Raw genomic sequence first — 20,851 nt, forward strand, 5'->3', positions numbered from 1 at the left:
AAGCTGGACCTCTACTCCTTACCATATACAAAAACTAAACTATTCCCAAAAATTTAGGAGGAGGGACTTCTCCCTGACTCCCTTTGACAGATTTGGATATCAAATCTGGTTGATTTTGTGAACAAGTATCATCCTGATACCAAAATCTGGCAAAGAAAAAAAAAAACTACAGGCCAATATCCCTGAAGAAAATATGTATATAAAAATTCTTTAAAAAAAGGTGAATTAAAGACTTAAATGTGATTCATCAAACTATCAAAACTATAGAAGAAAACTTAGGAAATACTCTTCTAGACATTGGCCTAGGCATATAATTTATAATAAAGACCCCAAAAGAAAATGCAACAAAATCAAAAAAGACAAATTGGACATTATTAAACTAGAGAGCTTCTGCACAGCAAAAGAAACTATCAATAAATTAAACACAGTCTTCAGAATGTGAGAAAATATTTGCAACCTATGCATATGAAAAAGGAATAATACCCAGAATCTAAAAGGAACTTACACAAATAAACAAGAAAAAAGCAAACAGCCCCATTAAAAAGTGGGCAAAGGATATAAGCAGACACTTCTTAAAAGAAGACAAACAAATGTTCAACAAACATATGAAAAAATGCTCAACATTCTTAATCTTTAGAGAAATGCAAACCTAAACCACAATGAAATACCATCTCACACCAGTCAGATGGCTATTAAAAAAGTTTAAAAAAAACCAAAAACCAAAAAAACAACCGAAATTGGTGAGGTTGTGGATAAAAGGAAATGCTTATACACTGTCGATGGGAATGCAAATTCGTTCAGTCCCCATGGAAAGCAGTTTGGGGATTTCTCAAAGAACTAAAAATAGAATTACCATTTCACTCAACAATCCCATTACTGGGTATATACTCAAAGGAAAACAATTTTTTCTACCATAAAGACACCTGTAATTGAATGTTTACTGCAGCTCTATTCACAATAACAAAGACATGGAATTGACCTAGGTGCCCATCATTGGTAGGCTGGATAAAGAAAATGTGGTACATATGCATTGTGAAATACTACACAGCCATGAAAAATAATGAAATCATTTTCTTTGCAGGAACATGGATGCAGCTAGAGGCCATAATCCTAAGCAAATCAATGCAGAAACAGAAAACCAAATACTGTATGTTCTCACTTGTATGTTGGAGATAAACACTGGGTACAAATGGACACAAAAATGGGAACATTAGACAGTGAGGATTCCAAGAAAAGGGAGGAAGGGAATAAGGGGTGAAAAACTACCTACGGGATACTATGTTTGCTACTCAAGCTGGGCGACTGGATCCTTAGAAGCCCAAACCGCATCATCATGCAATATACTTATGTAACAATGCTGCACATGTACACCCTGAATCTAAAATTTAAAAATTAAAGCAAAAAGTAAACTACTTAATACAGAATCTCCAATTTGTGTTAAAAAGAAGAAAAGATTGTTTCATTTTTGTTTTATTTTGATTTCCTGTTCTTTAGAAAACAGGAGATATCAGAAATGAAGTAAAGCTTTTGTTAATGTTGATGACTTCAACTCTGAAATTTCCTTACTTTATTCCAAACATCATAGAATTAGACATAGGCTCCCATGTTAAAGTAATAAAAACAATAGTGATATGATGTATTAATATGGTTATTATTTATTGAGGGCTTGCTCTATGCCAAACAATCTACTACAGATATTACCTATATTATTATTTTCTTTATATCTCAAAATAGCTGCTTGAGGTATACACTACTGCTATATCCTATATTGTGTGGGGATAAACGCTAAAGGAATTTAGGCTTAAAGACATTTATACTTGCTGTAGACTCAGGAAAATGAACAATACCAGCGTACGCTTTTTGCCAGCCGAGATTAGATGGGATAGAATGGCTGAATGCCTTTTCTATCGTTCTTAAGTGAGCTCTTCTATGGTCTGTGTTTCTTGGCTAAAGATCCTCTGGTTAGGTATTGTCTTTGTCTGTTTTGTGCTGTTTTCACATAGTACCTGAGACTGGGTAATTTATAATGAACAGAAATTTATGATTTCACAGTTCTGAGGGCCAGGAAGTCCACAATCAAGGGGCCGCCATCTTGCCGGTGCCTTCTTGGTACATCATCACACAGTGGAAGGGCAAAGACATGGCCAGAGAGAGGAAAGGGGTCAAACTCACCGTTTTACAATGGCACCAATTCCACCCATGAGTGTGGAGTCCTTATAGCCTAATCACCTCTGAAACATTCCACCTCTTAATACTGTTACAATTGCAATTAAATTTTAATATGAATTTTGGAGGGAACACATGTTCAAATCATAGCAGGTATCATGATTATTTTTCATTTTTCTTAAAATGCTAGGAATATTCCCTATTGTTTTCATTAGATATTACATGGGGCCTCAATTTTTTTGCGAGACTAATATAGTAAATGGAGTGAGTCATAAATAGGTTAAAGTAGAGCCTTTTATGCCTAAGAATGTGTCTGTCTCATAATGCAAGTGGTCAATCCAGCCAGCACCATCTTCAATCAGACAGGGATGCCTGACACCCCTTCAATCAGAGTGCTAAGCCAGCTTTGATGTCCTGGGCTTTTCTGTCAGCAAGAGTAGCACTGTAGGATATTACTTGGCCTTATATTTTGTAAGTAATTCACAGAAAGGCAGGGCTCTATATGAACATTGGCAGGTCTCTGCCCCTGAGGGTCCTGCAGACCCTAGGCTTCTTCCTCAATCACACAGATAACAATTTATTTTGAGAACAGAGTCAAATCAATATATCTCTAAGATAGGATTCAAATCGATGTCTCTACTTGAGTGACAAAGAAAAATAACATCATCTAATATGGAATTAATTAGGTAGTAAATATTAGATAACATGAAAGAAAGTGTCAAAGAAGAAGGAAATTTTATTTCTTCAATTTTATATCCAACTGTAATCTTCCATGTAGTGATCTTATAAATCACTATATATAAAATAAAAGATGTAATTCTTATACTAGATTTTTTTTTAACAAATATTTCCAGGATTTGAATTATGTTTTCATTCTGGCTTCTTGGCTATTTCTATCAGAAGAAGAAATTTATATGCCCAGCCACAATTCATAAACATGTACATGCCAGCTTTCTGGCAATAGTGATTTAAATGTCAAAACCAATATTCACACAGGTGATAGCAATAAGCAGACTCTGAATTAAAAATTCCTGATAACTTTTGCTTTTCAGAAGCACTTACATGGTGCAATCTTGGTTTAAGAGGGTGATAACACTAGGGATTACTGCTGGTGACCCCTATAATGTTAAAAATAGAACAAATAAATAAATCATATGTTTTGCGAACCATGGAATGGGAGGTAAGCAGAGAAAAAGGACAAAAATTTATTTGACGTTTTGGAGGGAGACTTCTGTTCAGTAATGGAAAACAAGAGGGACGGCCGGAAGAAGATCTGAAATATATAAGGTAATATATTTTAATATTTTAATTTAGGATGTTAACTGTTGGGCAAAGAAGTCCCTGCTTGAGAATTATGTCTCCATAACCATTATTTCCCAAACTTAAGTTTAACTAATTAAAACCTGGAATTCTGGGTAAAACATACACTCTTGGTCCTACTCTCAGATTCTGAATGAGTAGGACTTGGATAGTGGGGCAACAATTTGCATTTCTACCCCACTCACAGTTGTTGCTGATGTTGTCTGCTTACACATGCAGCAGAGACAATAATAACCCTTTCAAAGAAGTTCACTTCCTAATCCCTAGAACCTGTGGATACATTATGCTACATGGCAAAGGGGAACTAAGGTACCAAATGGAAGTAAAGTTGCCAATCAGCCAACTTTAAATTAAGGAGTTCATCCTGGGTCGTCCACATGGACACAATATAATGAAGAAAGTTATCAAATGAGCAAGAGGAGGTAGAAGAGTTAGAACAAGAAGTTGATGGCATTCTGATAAATACTGGACTGGCTGTTCCTGGCTTGAAAGTGGAAGAAGCCATGAGCCAAAGGAATGTGAATAGCCTCTGGAGTCTGGAAAAGGCCAGGAAATGTATTCTCCTCTAAAGCCCCCAGAAAGAAAAGCAGCCCCAATGACAACTTAGATTTTGTCCAACAAGACCAATTTTAAATTTCTGATCTTCAGAACAGTAAGATAACAAAAGTGTGCTGTTTTACGACAGTAATACTATGTTGTGTCAGCAAGAGGAAGTAGATTATACTTTAGCAAGGATCCAACCCATCATAACTCTTTTGTCCATGCTTTTATGAATGTACCGTTAGAAATTTCAAGAATGGGCCGGGCACTGTGACTCACGCTTGTAATCCTAGCACTTTGGGAGGGAGAGGAGGGTGGATCACAAGGTCAGGAGTTCGAGACCAGCCTGACAAATATGGTGAAACACCATCTCTACTAAAAATACAAAAATTAGCTGGGCATGGTGGCGGGCGCCTGTAGTCCCAGCTACTCGGGAGGCTGAGGCAGGAGAATTGCTTGAACCTGGGAGGTAGAGGTTGCAGTGAGCCGAGATTGCAACTCTGCACTCAAGCGTGGCTGACAGAGTGAGACTTGGTCTCAAAAAAAAAAAAAGAAATTTCAAGAATGCTGACAACACTCAAGTATCAGTAGTCTTTCCTGGCAACAGTTTCATATGTACAATATTCTAATTTACTAACTAAGACTGCAATACTGACCATATAAACCATGATGGCCAATTGCACCAATCCACATAAATCTATTCCACCAAAGAGAGACCATATTGAAGGTGAGCTGTATTAAAAATAAAAACAGAAGGGAAAAAATAACTTTCCGCTCTTCCTCCTAGGAAAATATTCAAAGACTTTTTCATGTGAGAAGCCTTTCAGTTTATATCATTTGTAATAACTCCTTTCATTTATTCCATCACAATCCATGAAAAACTGTAGGATGATTAAATGAAAAAAAAAAAAGGTCTTTCCACTTGGTATTGGTACTATTGATTCACAGTGTCCTTCATAGCTGTGAAATTTACAATGTGTTAATAGTTAATGGAAAACAATAGGAAGTCTGGATTTTTTATATTCTGGCTGTCAATATTAATTTTAATTTTATAATTTTAAGAAAAATAAAATAAAAAAATAACTGTAATATGTCTAGGAATGCCCACTGATTTTATCTTGTCATTGTGTTGATTCTTTCTGATGTTTTCACTGGAATGTACATATTATACAATGTGTGTGAGGATAGTTACTATCATACATATATGCCAATAGCTATATGTGTAAGAAATCTGATCTATGAACCTTAAACTCTGATATGCTAGTACTACAGTTATAATCTGACATGATGAATTTAAACTGAAAATAAAAACAAAAACACAGAAGTGGGAGAGAAGGCCCTTGGAGAGCACTGGTTAGAGGCAGTTGACACTACCTTTCCATTTTTCTTTTATTCTGCTTATGTCTTCTTTCAAATAAAAGAAAACTAGGTGCTATAGTAAAAGTCCTATGAGTCAAGGTACTATAGTTTGATCACTGTGAATATGTAAATCTTGAGAATAAACTTCATTATAACTATAGAACTGAAAAATAAATTTCTTCTAATTTCTAATACATTTCTACAGGGCATAATCATCATCACTTCAGATCACATGTTTTCACAATTTGTTGACTTACTTTTTTTAGTGATCTTCATTGACAGATACGAGCAAAAGATAGAATTGGCTCTGGAAATATGGATTTTGTGTATGCAAAATCCTTTACCACATTTTTTCATCATACCCGTTGTTATCTTTTCTAAGGAAATTCATGCTGTCTTTCTCTTACCTGAGTTATCAAACTTCTCACACTCAACTTCACTCTGCTCTTCACTCACACTCCTAGAAAAGTATAATAGCATTTCTATTGAAGTGTACTGTCATTCAGTAAGATAGATGATGGCTTCATTTTTGTTCATTGGTCTATTTTGAAATGAATGAGGGTACAAAAGTGGCCAAGTAAGTCTGGATCTAGAGGTGTTCTTTATATCACCCAAGCTGTAGATCTTTCAGATTATGTTAAAAAACTATATAGTATCTGTTTTCCTAATCATGTTCCTTAATAGATGAACATTTTAAAGATTTTAGAATTAATAAGAGATTCTCCTCCCTTTTCAATGATGTCAATATCCTAGGCAACATGTTATAGCATTTTAAATTACATTATGAGATAATTTTTCTTTAGATTCATGTAACTTAGGAATTGCAACACATATAAACATAAGTAAGAAACAAATAAGAGTAATTTTCAGCAGAGGGTTATATAACTTTTTTAGATCTGCTGTCATCCTGATCTTGAAAATTAAGATGGCATCTAGAATGCCTGAAATATAGAAAGGTATATTTGGTTTGGAAAGAAGGGACATGATAAACAGAGGAACTTATTTAACAAGTATCTATTATCTATTGATTTAGATGCTATTCGTACATTCATTGTTCATTAACTGTATTGTTATCACATTGCTGTAAAGGACTGCCCAAGACTGGGTAATTTACGAAAAAAAAAAAGTTTTAATTGACTCAACAGTTTCACATGACTGGAGGAGCCTCAGGAAACTTACAATCATGATGGAAGGGAAAGAGGCACATCTTACATGGCAGCAGGTGAAAGAGAGTAAATATGTGTAGAAGGAAATGTCAGACGCTTATAAAACCATCAGATTTCATAAGAACTCACTCACTATTATTAGAACAGCATGGGAACACTGCCCCCAGGATCCAGTCACCTACCACAGGTCTCTCCCTCAATGTGTGGGGATTATGGGGTTTGCAATTCAAGATGAGATTGGGTGGGGACACAATTCCTAACCATATAATTCTGCCCCGTCCCCTCCCAATTCTCATGTCCTCACATTTCAAAACCAATCATGCCTTCCTAACAGTCCCCCAAAGTCTTAGCACATTTCAGCATTAACTCAAAAGTCCAAGTTCAAAGTCTCATCTGAGACAAGGCAAGTCCCTTCTACCTATAAGTCTGTAAAATCAAAAGCAAGTTAGTTACTTCCTAGATACAATGAGGGTATAGGCATTGGATAAATGCTCCCATTCCAAATGAGAGAAATTAGCCAAAATGAAGGGGCTGCAGACCACATGCATGTCCTAAATCCAGTAGGTCAGTCACTAAATCTTAAAGCTCTGAAAGGATCTCCTTTGACTTCATGTCTCACATCCAGGTCACACTCATGCAAAAGGTGGGCTTCCATGGTCTTGGGCAGCTTCACTCCTGTGGCTTTGCAGGGTACAGCCCCACCACCGATTGATTTCCCAGGCTGGGGTTGAGTGTCTGCAGCTTTTCCAGGTGCGTGGTGCAAGCTGTCAGTGGGTCTACCGTTCTGGGGTCTGGGGGACAATGGCCCTCTTCTCACAGTTCCACTAGGCAGTGTCCCAGTGGGGCTCTATGTGGGGGCTCTAACCTACATTTTTCTTCCATACTTCCCTAGCAGAGGTTCTCCATGAGGGCTCCAACCCTGCAGCAAACTACTGCTTCAACACCCAGGAGATTCCATACATCCTCTGAAATCAGATGGAGGTTCCCAAACCTCAATTCTTTACTTCTGTGAACCTGCAGGCCTAACACCACATGGAAACCACCAACAACTGGGGCTTGCACCCTATGAAGCAATGGCCTGAGCTGTACGTTGGCCCCCTTTAGCCATGGCTGGAATGCAGGGTGCCAAGTCCCAAGGCTGCACAGAGCAGCAGTGAGGCCCTGGGCCTGGACCATGAAACCATTTTTTCCTCCTGGGCCTTTGAGCCTGAGATGGGAGGAGATGCCATGAAGGTCTCTGACATGCCCTGGTGATATTTTCCTCATTGTCTTGGCTATTAAGCTCCTCAATACTTATGCAAATTTCTGCAGCTGGCTTGAATTCTTCCCCAGAAAAATGGGTTTATTATTTTCTACTACATGGTCAGGTTGCACGTTTTCCAAACTTATATACTCTGCTTCCCATATAAACATGTTTCCATTTCAAACCATTTCTTTGTGAACACATTAGACTGAATGCTTTCAAAATCAACCGGGTCACATCTTGAATGCTTGGCTGCTTAGAAATGTCTTCTGGCAGATACCCTAAATCATCTCTCTCAAGTTCAAAATTCCACAGATCTCTAGGGCAAGGAAAATTTCTCCAGTCTCTTGGCTAAAGCATAGCAAAAGTGACCTTTACACCAGTTCCCAAGAAGTTCCTCATCTCCATCTGAGACCACCTCAGCCTAGACTTCATTATCCACATGATTATCAGCATTTTGGTTAAACCCACTGAATGAGTCTCTAAAAAGTTCCAAACTTTCACACATCTTCATGTCTTCTGAGCCTTCCAAACTGTTCAAACCTTTGCCTGTTACCCAGTTCCAAAGTTGCTTCCACATTTTCAAGTATCTTTATAGCAGCACCCCACTACCTCAGAATCAATTAACTGTATTAGTTCATTCTCACATTGCTATGAATAACTGCCCATGACTGGGTAATTTATTAAAAAAAAAAAGAGGTTTAATTGACTCACAGTTCTGCATGGCTGGGGAGGCCTCAGGAAACTTCCAATCATGGTGGAAGGGGAAGAGGCACATTTTACGCAGTGGCAGGTGACAGAGAGAGTGTGTGAAGGAGGAACAGTCAGACAAGGATAAAACCATCAGATCTCGTGAGAATTCATTCACTATCATGAAAACAGCATGGGAACACTGCCCCCATGATCCAATCACCTCCCACCAGCTCTCTCCCTTGACATGTGGGGATTATGGGGATTACAATTCAGGATGAGATTTGGGTGGGGACACAAAGCCTAACCATATCAATTAACATAGTGAATAAATATGGATTAAATGTCAGTGATATGTTAAGCAATCAGACACTATTCTATAATATTGTGGTGGAAGATGCATAAATATAGAACAAAACTTCTGCATTCAGACATTTTATATTTAAGTCAAGCAGATAGTAAAAAGTAATGATTAAAATACATATAAGAGTATGTTGATGATAATTGGGGAAAAGGGCAGAGAAGAGTGTAGGTAAAATTGGAAAGTTTCACTTATAAATAGTATTGTTAGAAGAACCTTTGCCAATAAATGTTAATATTTGAATTAACACAAAAAATTAAATGAGGGATTAAGCCATGTAGATAGCTAGGGAATGACTATTTCATTAAAGAGAAGAGCAAACACTAATACTGAGTTGGGTTAATTTAAACAGTTTTTCAGTAGAAACCAGAGACTGATGTAGTAGGAAGTTAGAACAAGTGAGAGGTAGAGAAGTAGGAAAGAGGCCAGAGAGATAATGAAAGGTCAGTCCATGCGGTTACTTGCCTACGACTGCAAACTTTGATTTTACTCAGAAGGATATGGAAATTCAATCAAGGACATTAAAAAGAGAAAGCCTAGTGTATATATGGGATGCTTTTCTGGCTGCTTTACTGAGAATAAATAAAAAATAAGGGAAATTAAAACAAGGAGACACCTTAAGATGCTATTGAATAATTTAGTGAGTATGTGATTGTAACTTGGACAAGATTCCAGTATTGAAGGTTAAATATATTTAGAAGCTAGAAGAAAAACAATGCTGGTGGGTTAACTACAGGTTATGTAAGAAAGAGAAAAGTCAAGGATGACTGATATTAATTTGGCTTACCCACAAAATATATAGGATTTCTATCAGTCTAGATGAAAATGATGGCAGGAGGGACAGTAAAGGAAAAAACAGCACTCACTTTTGGATTGCAGATGCCAGATTGGCCTAGGACTATAAACCTTGAGTATGGAGTTGAATCCATGAGGCTGGAGTTCAGGGGAATGATTCAGACTTCAGTAGAAATTTGAACTAATTTATTGATGTTATTATAAGTGTGAGCTCTCCAGTTCTCTTAAATTAATACATCAGGAAGAAAAGGAGGAATTAGCAAAAGAAACCGAGAGACTGAAGGTAAACTAGTAGAATTCTGTGTCCTGGAACTGTTAAGGTTCAGTGTTTCAAGTAAGGCAAAAAATGAAAAGTTGACTACAGATTTTACAATTTAAACATTATCTGTGACTTTGGCAAAAATAATTTCAGAGGAGAGGGGATTAAACCCTTGTTAGGTGGGGCTCAAGAAAAAATATCAGGAATAATTTGGAGCAAGCTAATATAAATGCTATTTTCATTGTGTACTACTTCTTGAGGAAAAAGAAGAAATAGACCCATAGATGTAGCTAAAATTATGTCAAAGAACATTTTTAGAAAACAAAGGGAAAGAAATAACCCTATGTCTGCATGCAGTGGTAAAAAAGGAGAGGTAAACGATATGCACGATAAAGTAGATAAAACTTCTGGATCAGTGTCTTTTGAGTGGATAACAAAGTATGGGATCTAGGTTGCAGATGAAACGGTTGGGCTTTGTTTGAAGCAAGGGGCAGTTCTTCCATAGTATCTCGAAGGAAAGAGTAGATGCATAGAACAGTGAAGGAGAGTAGATCAATGGTTGGGAGCTTTTAGACTTTTATTTATTGCAAGGTTATCAGGTGAGAGTGAGAGAGTTAAAATAGGTATCGAGTATTTTGTTTGAAAAAATATGTATAAGACAACTCTCCCTTTACATGCTAGTTACAGAAACAACCACCACCCAACTGTTGGTTTTCCTTCTACTCTATCTCTGCTTATTGACTGTCCAATGTCTAGGGATAGTTTATGGAGAAATTTGTTATAATTTAAAAAAGACATTTAAAAGCAGAGGGAATTAATGTCATTAACATTAAATATTTTTATCTTATTTATTCTATAATCTTTGCCAAATTACTTACACATTTTTATGCTTTATTTTTTATATGTAAAATGAAGAGGAATATATTCAAATATATTCATTTCTTATTTTTTAAAGATTGAAGGTGTCTGGAAAAATATACTAAACCTATAAACTGGCAAAAATTCCTGAGTGTTTTTTCAGCCCTTTTTAAGAGCCTACACTTTTAATTGGCTTTCTATTGACTGGACAGTTTCTTACTTGTCTTGAAGAAAAGACAAGTCTTAAAGTTACTCTTTTTGCTCAGTAAGATATTAACCAGTTTGGTACCTTAGGTTAACATTTCAATCTCAGTTTAACATTCTGTATCTTAGCTTACCCAACCTTAGCTTAACATTCCTTTATTACATTACATATAGAGACCTAGCTTCTCAAATGCTCTTTGAACAGGTTTTAATCTACTTTTAGTTTCTTCATTAATCAGGTAAGTACAATTTTAACACTTGTCCATTTTATAATTACATGAGCATTTAAAATTTTAAGATGTATACTTTAACAAATGATAACATTATAATCTCTAGCTGAGTGTCTGACATGTATTGCTTCATTTGCCTTCACAGCCCACTCTCATATCTATTTCAATCATAGCTTTTAGCATTTATAATTAAAAATAATAAAAATACAGTTGAGTATTTACAAATACAGTTGTAATATTATATCCTTTTACTATCCTAATAATTGGAGAGATTTACTTTGCACTTAGCAAATTATTGATAGTTTCTCATGGCTAAATACTGCAAATACTTAAAGTGAACCTCTAATGGGAACTAGGGGTTGGTAAAAAGGTTACTGGATTTGGTCTATGACAGATTTTTTTTTTTTTTTTTTTTTTTGAGACGGAGTCTTGCTCTGTTGCCCAGGCTGGAGTGCAGTGGCGCGATCTCAGCTCACTGCAAGCTCCGCCTCCCGGGTTCACGCCATTCTCCTGTCTCAGTCTCCCGAGTAGCTGGGACTACAGGCGCCTGCCACTATGACCGGCTAATTTTTTTTATACATTTGGTAGAGACTGGGTTTCACTGTGTTAGCCAGGATGGTCTTGATCTCCTGATCTTGTGATCCGCGCTCCTCGGCTTCCCAAAGTGCTGGGATTACAGGCGTGAGCCACCGCGCCTGGCCGGTCTATGATAGAATTTTGTCAGAATCCTGGCTATGTTATTTAGATGGCTTGATTAGCAATTTTTTTTATCCACAAAATAATGAAAATAAAAGCCCCCAGCTTTGCCTGGGTGTGTGAAATAAAGTACACAACACAATTTCTGCTCCTTACAAATTCATTAATATGTTATTTGAATTCTAGAATTAATGCTCCAAAAGTATGCATTTAACCATGCTTATCATGAACCCTACATTTATTCTACTAAAATCCATTACTCATATTAGAACTAAATACCTTAGATGGAGACTCCTAAACCTTTATTCTGAGCGGGAGTGAGGCCCAGACTCACCACCTTTATAATGTCAACAGCTTGACAATTAACATATATTCCAGCTCAGTTCTTCCTTTTTCTGTGTGAGTACCTAGAATACATGCTCTCCCCATCCTCATTTCAGAAAATCAAGTCATTTTACTCTGCCTCTCTTTATGTACAACACTGACATTAATATTTAATATTTTGTCCTGCCTTGACATCAAGTAAAATTGGGAGAGCTTCAAATGCTCTAATTCCAAGTTTTCCACCTCCTTTGCCCTAGTGGCTAAGGTTCCCTACCCAAATAACCATCACAGAGACCAAGACACACTGACTACTTATTCCTTAGTAGTGAACTTCAGTTCTCTGACAGCCCTAGAATTATTCCAGTCAATGACATCCTCCCTCTTGATACTACAACGCCAGCTTCCTGCATGCCCTGCTTGTTTACTCTGGTCTCCAGTGTAGCCTCCATATGGCCCTGTGTGGCAATGTCCTCTTACCTCTGGCTGTGAGTGTTCTCTTACCTCTGGCTTTGAGTGTGAGTGTGGTAGTATCCTCTTACCTCTAGCTGTGACCAGCAACAAGCTGTCAATCTCAACTGAAAAGTGTTAGGTGTCATGCTTTCAGCCATCCCCTAACATAGATCAGGGACATCTCCTTCACCAGTGGGATGAAAAGAGGAAAATAAAACATATCTGTTTAAACATCAAGTTTTTCCTCATTTTCCCCTTATTCCTTCATTTATGCATCTAGCCATCCATTCATCCATCCATTCATCCATCCATTCATCCACCCATTCGTCCACCCATTCATCCACTCATCCATCCATCCATCCATCCATCCATCCATCCATCCATACATCCACTTATTCACCTAATAAATACTTAACAATTTTCAGAATATATTCTATTCATTTCTATAGGCATCTGAAAACTATTTATTAGTAACTAATCATGTTCAATATTGCAACGTGATTAAAATATTAAAATTATTTTCTGAATTATTTCTGAAATGCATCTTTTTTCCAACTTTCCTACAACTTTACACTAATTCAGTCTTGATACATTTTAATATTGTAGTTTTTTAAAAAATACAAAGGCAAGGAAAGAGAGAAAATGCTGACTACTCATAACCTATTACTTATTTTAGTCCCATGTTGATATGCATTTATTTATTCAATTTATTTTTATTGAACCCCTACTTTTTGCCAAGAATTGTTATAAGTTTTGAGTATAGTGCAGTGAAATCAAAGTAAAACAGAATATAACACAACCAAAATGTAAATTAAAACAAACAAACAAAAATCACTGGTGTCATGACACATTTTAATGGTAATAAAGAGATAGAATGTAAGCAATAAACCATCAATAAAAATACTGTTTTAAGTATAAAAATAATCTAGCTAGAATTTTCTCAAATTATGCATGCTTGGCATGACCAAGTAAAGAACAGGAGGCCAGGGTTTATGGGACAGAGTGAGCTGGTGGCAAGACTTAACAGATTATGAGGCCAGAGAAAGAACCAGTGGCCAGAACATATTGGCTATTGGGAGCAGAGTACAGTTTTTAGTCCGGAGAATGGTGAGAATCCATTATAGGGGGTTAGCCAAGAAACAGGCGTGAATATATTGGTGTTTAAAAAGGAACTGTGTACCCCTGTAATAGAGAATAGACAGTAGGAGAAAAGATAAAGGCAGGGAGACAAATTAGGAAGCTACTATAATAATCCAGATGAAACAGGATTGAAATACAGAGATTATTATTGAAATACCCTAATACAAATGTAGAGTTCTTTCTACAAAAATGATTCAGTTTCATAAATATGTTTAGGGATTTTCTTTTTACTGTTAGCAATGGAAAAATTGCTCTATTCTTCTATCTGTATATGTAAAATATTTATTACTATTCAAAAATAAATAATAGTAAAACAATTATGGTAAAAAAATTAGTTAATTTTACTCAGGAAGTTTAAGATTTCCTACTGCATGTAAGTTAAAAATACTACAATGATGTTTGCTTCATTTACTTTGAAATATTAAGTGGCTTGTTAGCATAATTGCCACTTACGATCCCTGAAGGCTTTTCTTGTTAAATGATATTAAAATATTCACTGCACTTGGATTCAAATTTACAGAAGAAACTATTATTGAGAAATCTCTGTTTATATATACAAAATAGTGATACAAACAATTAATAACCAGAAAATGAGTTTAATTATCTATATTATCTCTCTATTGGCCTTTAATAGGATATGAGTAAAATCTTTGACCAACCTCCCTTGACCAACACACATGAAAAATAAATAGATGTTATCCTATGACTTGAATTTCAATTCATCTCCAGTCTATTTCCTGAACAAGAATTACATTTTAGACTTGTATATCTTCTTTTGAGATTATAAAGGTAACATATTTAATAAGAAACAAAATGAATACTTTCAATAATAATGTTTCTTTTTAAATGAAGAATAATGTTTTACTAATGCTTATAATTATAATATTCTGACAAAAAGCTATTCCCTCATGAGGCTATTCTAAAAACATACATAGTCTCTGCTCTATGGGAATTAGCCTATTTGTGTTAACAAATGTGCCATATAAATGTACATTTGCTCTTGTAATATCATGATGCAATAGCTACGGGCACCTTAGGTTGGAACTTCTTCTTGGGTAAAAGCTATAATGTTTATTTCAGAGTTCAAAATTTTATGTTGCACTGTGCAAGGAATTAAAAGTCATATTTAAAGCACACATTAAGTAGTTTTATCGCCAGTCATAAACTCACACAAGAATCTTTGGTATCAGCAGCTTCAATAATTTTTATACAAGGCAGCAGCCAAACAACATGAATGCCAATTTTGTCTTTGTTGACAATTTGTTCATTTAATTTCAATCTCTGACTCAGATATCTCCAAAATGTAATTTTTAAAAAAGAGTTTGGGAAGAATTCAATGGAATAAACTAAAATCTTACAGTCATATGTGTAAGAAAAATACATTATTTAAAAATTATTGTATAAATATGCTACAATAATCTTACTGAAGCATAATCAAAGTTATGTATTAGCCTTTCTTAAACTCTGTTGTCCAAAAGCAAAGGATGAAATTTAACTAGGTGTTAATATTTAAGCTTCAGAAATTTAACACTGGTTGCCTATCATTTTCTTAGTAGATATGTTAAATTAATTTTATATCCTTTATACTTGATTATCACATGATAGAAGATAGAAATAATACAAAAATAAAGAAAAAATATTGCCTTTATAAAAATAAAAATAAGTGGTTTATAAATAAAACAAGTAAATAATACTTGGTTGCCATTTATCAAGCAAGTATATTGCTGTGAACAATACTTCAGATATTTATCTCCCAAAGTCTCATTTCAATAAAAAAGACAAAACAAGCTTTGGTTTCCAAAACGTGAAAGAAACAAGTACAAACCATTTACCTTGCTATTCATGACATTCCTGAATCTGATATGGACTTCAAGATGTTTCTATAACACCAACTCCCATTTATCCAGTGTTTACATATTAACCCAGAGTTAAATCATAGAGGACATGGTTGATCCTTCATTTGTTATAATACTTTTATCTTAGAACACTTTTGTACATTTTGGCTTTTCAAATTCTGCTTCCCCCCACTACCCCAGATTGGAGCCTCGCTCTGTCGCCCAGGCTGGAGTGCAATGGCATGATCTCAGCTCACTGCAAGCTCTGCCTCCTGGGTTTAAGCAATTCTCCTCTCTCAGCCTCAAGAGTAGCTGGGACTACAGGCACGCACAACCACCCCCAGTTAATTTTTGTATTTTTTAGTGGAGATGGGGTTTCACCATGTTGGCCAGGCTGGTCTTGAACTCCTGACCTCAAGTGATCCACCCTCCCCAACCTCCCAAAGTGCTGGGATTACAGGCATGAGCCACTGCACCCTGACAAATTCTGCTTTTTGAATCCACTAAAATTCCCATTTTAACTTCTAAGAACATGTCTTTTAAGAATAGTTAACTTTTTATGTGCTGTCAAATTATCTTTCTTCTACCTTTACTAGAACACTGGTCTTTACATCTAGCGTGCAACACATATTCTGTTTGTGTTGCCGTAATCATTTATTTTAGATTATAAACTACTTGGAGGTTGGTTTTGTATGGCGTTTAGCACTTGGATTACTCTCATAACTTCAGTATAATCACTAGTCTTACAAAAACAAGAAGTTAATTTGTAATACATCTCTTGCATTACACTAAAATGTAGATATGGCTGTCCATTGCTACAGTGACATTTAGAATCCTTAGAAGAAACATACTTTGAACAAGTGTTGTTACAAATATGGTGTAACATGAAACAGTGATTTCATATAATAGCAAGCCCTAACATACCTAAGACTGGGGAAAGGGAAAGGTAAATAATATATTTAAGCAGATAATAAGTGCTCAATGAATTGCTTTTAATTAAGTTCGATTGATTATAATGCTCAACATTTTTGCTTTTAAAGATTATAAACATATTGTTATATTACACTGGTTAGCAGAAATGAAACATTAATAACAAACAACTTGTAAGCATTTAAAGGGTTCTGGTAAATGATAATCCACATCCAGCAGTTGTATTTTTATAGATGGAATATATTTTTGTATTTGAGAAATGTTTTAATTTTAGGTTTGAATAAATTAAAGAAACTACAGGAGAAAGACAAACACAAAAGTTTGAATCAAATAATTATTTTTCTGCTTTCGTAAATGTTTACTGGCTACTTTTAATTTGTTATTTTTGTATTTAATTGTGATTCTGCCATTTAGTAATCTCAGTTTTCCCATACACCACTGTTTCACTAATATACTAGGCCTTAGACATGTTCCCCTTGCAATGGGCTGGTCATAATTAGTTATGTAATTTATTTTCTAATTACTCACACTATTCATACTGTTGATGTTATAGATGGCAACACATCTCTGAACCTATGTGACTAGGAGAAATATAGATTTTTATTACATTGCACTCTGCATTTAGCTTAATGAAAATTTTGTCACATAAGAAAATAAAGCAAATATGATATGTTGTTTGCCTAAAATAGTTCAGTTTTTAAAAGAGACTACTATAATTTGTTGTAAACACCAAAATTAAGATTTTTTTTCTTCTCTCAAATACTAGAATTCTATGAAATGTGTAGACATTGAATTTATAACTCTATACTGACATTCATGTATTTGGAACTTATTTAGCAAATATTGATCCAGCCATGTAGTAGGCATAGTTGATGTAAAGATGGAAGAAATATTTTTGTTTCCTAGGAGTTTATATTATTGTGAGAAAGCAACAACCACAACAACAAATTTTCTTACCGTGAATCTATTGAATGCCTGACCCCGTTGGTGATGTGGGAGAAATATTTAACTCCTCTAATGTCTTTGACATACAATTGTCCTCTTCCTTCAGCAATGTAGCTCTCTGGTACTCAAACTGAGGGATTTTCCTCAGAGTATTTCACTAGCCTCTTACTCTTGTGTTTCCTTTCTTTCATATCCCCAAGCATAAGATACCTTTACATAGTACTTTATGTACTTTGGACCATAAAATGTATTCTTATGAAACCTATAATTTTATGCCAAAACCAACTCTTACAGCTTTGTTCCTGCTTGTGAAATCAAGAGCCAGAATTTAATTGCCTTTTTTTTTGTTGTTGTTCTCAAATGATTCTTCATTTGTGGTATAAATGAAACAAAAGTAGAAAAGAAACACATGCATAAGTTAATACTTCACAAGTTTTTATATAAGTATATATTGCAAAAAGCTATTCACTAGCTTTTATTTCTCATTTGCCTATAAGTCTGTTGGAAAATCATCTTTTCATGTTCCCAAATACCTGCTTTACATTTGATATCCCAAAGCCACACAATAAATAAATTGTAGACATTCAAGACAATGTAAGTCAACAGAAGCAATGAATGGGACTGAGAATAGAACAATGACAACAACAAAAATGTCCTGCTTTCCAAATGATTGAAGATCACTAAAGTACCTTCCTGTTAGTCTAGGTCACACCACCCCTTAAAAATCAGTGGTATGCTACCTCCGCATACTAAACTCACCCTTCACTCCCTCTTCATGTTTCCACCATTGGACTTAACATCCTGCTCTTCTAGAGATTACAACAGCCACATACAACCTGCTGCTCCCTCTCTCTTCAGTCATTCCCTTTAATTCATCCAACCCTCACCATACTTTTCTCTAAGTTTCAGGTCTGCTTTATGGGAATTTGGCTTGAAAACTAGGAAACAGATTTCCAAAACTGTCTCTGGGCTCTGGTCTCAATTGAAAAAAAAAATGCTTTTACCCTGAGAATAATATTACCCCTGCAAATATTCAAGTGAAAAGTTTACCTTTTTGCTTTATAGTTTGCTTTGTAGTTCTCACAATCCTTGTATTTGAAGCTAGTGTAGGTCTCCTTCTTGCTCCTCAGTGTTACTTCCTTAACATGTTTTCTGCTTCCAATTATACAACCATAAACATGGTAAGGAAAACAAAAAAATATTTTCTCTAAATTGCACCCCATGGGATGCTCTTTTTTTTTCTGTCTTCTTTTTTTCTTTTCAATCTATTCAACTCTGATCTCTCCCTATCAGTTTTGGTAAATAATAGTAATTGACACTCAGGTTTCTTCTCTTACCTGAAATCATGGCATAGCTCTAATAGGATTACATATCCATATGAATAAACATTGATATATTTCACGTAAGCTGTTTCTTGATCTGCATACAACTGTTATTTTCTTCCTCTTCACCATAGGCAGATTTCTGTGAGTATACCCTGGTCTTGTGGATAAAACAAATCACTTAAAAATAAGTAATTAAAACATCCCCTCAAGTATCCTTTTCTGATCAGCTATTCTCACGACACTCTTTCAATCACCAATTTCTTCTCCTGTTTGCACTCTGAGTGGTTGAGATTGGGATTCTTTGGTTTATAAATGTTATAAGAAGTTCCCAGATACCTGGGACTGACTATCCCTTCCTCCTTTATGTCTTATTTATTAGGAAAAAAAAAAAGCCAACAACAGTTTTCTGTGTGGGACACAAAGACATCTATTTTTTCTCACTAAGATTAATATTACAATTGTAAGTGAACTTGAGCTACAAAATTTGTTTGGTTTTACAGAAATTGTGTGGTGAATGGTGTATGTGACCTGCTGCTGGTGGCCGAGGTGCTGTGGTCCACAGCAAATATATTCTGGAGTTGCATTAATTTAAACTTGTTGAATGGTACAATATGTAATGTGAGTTAACAGAACAAGGTAGATCTTTAAAAGAGTCTGTAAATAAATATCTTTAATATTAATCTTAGAAACATTCAGCAAATAAATTGAATTCAGTTAACTATATGATGTTAAATATATTAATATTTGAAATGAAGAACTTTCTAAGTAAACTTAGTGATTCATCATGATGAATTTTGCTTATTTTCTCAAAACATTTTGTTTCACTGCTTTATAATTTATAAAATTATGTTGTTTCGTGGTTACCTTTGCCCCCATCATTTCTTTTCCTCTACAGCCAAGTCTGTCATTCACATGCATAAATACATATTGAAAAATTCTGAGCCATAACAAGTATAAGATTATTAGACTATACACATCGTTTTAAGAAATGCTCTAGATTGGCTAATTTGTCAAACAGTCACCACGGCTTTTCCACTTGCAGATCTCAGCAAATCATATGCAAATGGCATAGGATCCGTTTTCATGAGTAAATAACAAATGCAATGTGATCTCTAAGAATTGACTACTCCTCCTCCAAATCACCTTAATATTATCTTTAACTGTTTCAAAGTTTGACAAAATAAGTTTCTTTTGGATCACAGAGCTGACATCACAAGAACATGAATAAAACCTGCAGTAGACTAGATATAAGCCACAGGAAGCCCTAAACTTGTCTGTAGGATCAGTTTTCAGCTTTCACTGTCTGTCATTTGACTGTCTACAGAGATTGCTGTTAAAACGCAAAGATCATATCTAGGCTTTAGACAATATCACATGCTTTTTAACATATATTAGTTGGTTTAATACATGCGAAACACTCAAGAGCACACAAAAATTAAATCTACTATAGTAAGTGGAAAGGCTGCATACTTTCAAAATAATATTTTTTATCACTTCATTGTTTAACTCAACAAAGTTTTGAATACATATATTTGTTTGTCACTGTTCTATGCTGTGCTGATCACAAAATAAAAGTCTATGAATATTCCTTCAAAGAGCTGGTAATCTCCAGAGAGAAAGAGAGAGAGAGAGAGAGAGAGAAAGAGAGAGAGAGAGGAAAAGATATTTATGACACAAATAATCACAACAAAATAAGCAGGGGTCATTTAGTGGATGCATTCCTTAAGTCATAAGTGGTTTGTTAAATCTTTATAATATTCCTTTAATTAAGTACAATTATGATCCTCATATCTCAGAAGAAGGAATTGAAGCTAAGAGATCTTGCTCAAGGTCTTACAACTGCAGAATGACAAATAAATGTGAGACTGCATGCAATTCATGTAGAATATTTAAAAGGCACACACAACAAACATATGTATAATAACAAGGTGCCACAGGAGTGTGTGAAGAACCAGCTATGAGGAGAGCTTATGGTGAATGAGGTTAAAAGACAGGACAGATTCTCTGAAATGTCA

Source organism: Homo sapiens, chromosome 5, assembly GCF_000001405.40.
Source record: "Homo sapiens chromosome 5, GRCh38.p14 Primary Assembly".
Lineage (NCBI taxonomy): Eukaryota > Metazoa > Chordata > Mammalia > Primates > Hominidae > Homo > Homo sapiens.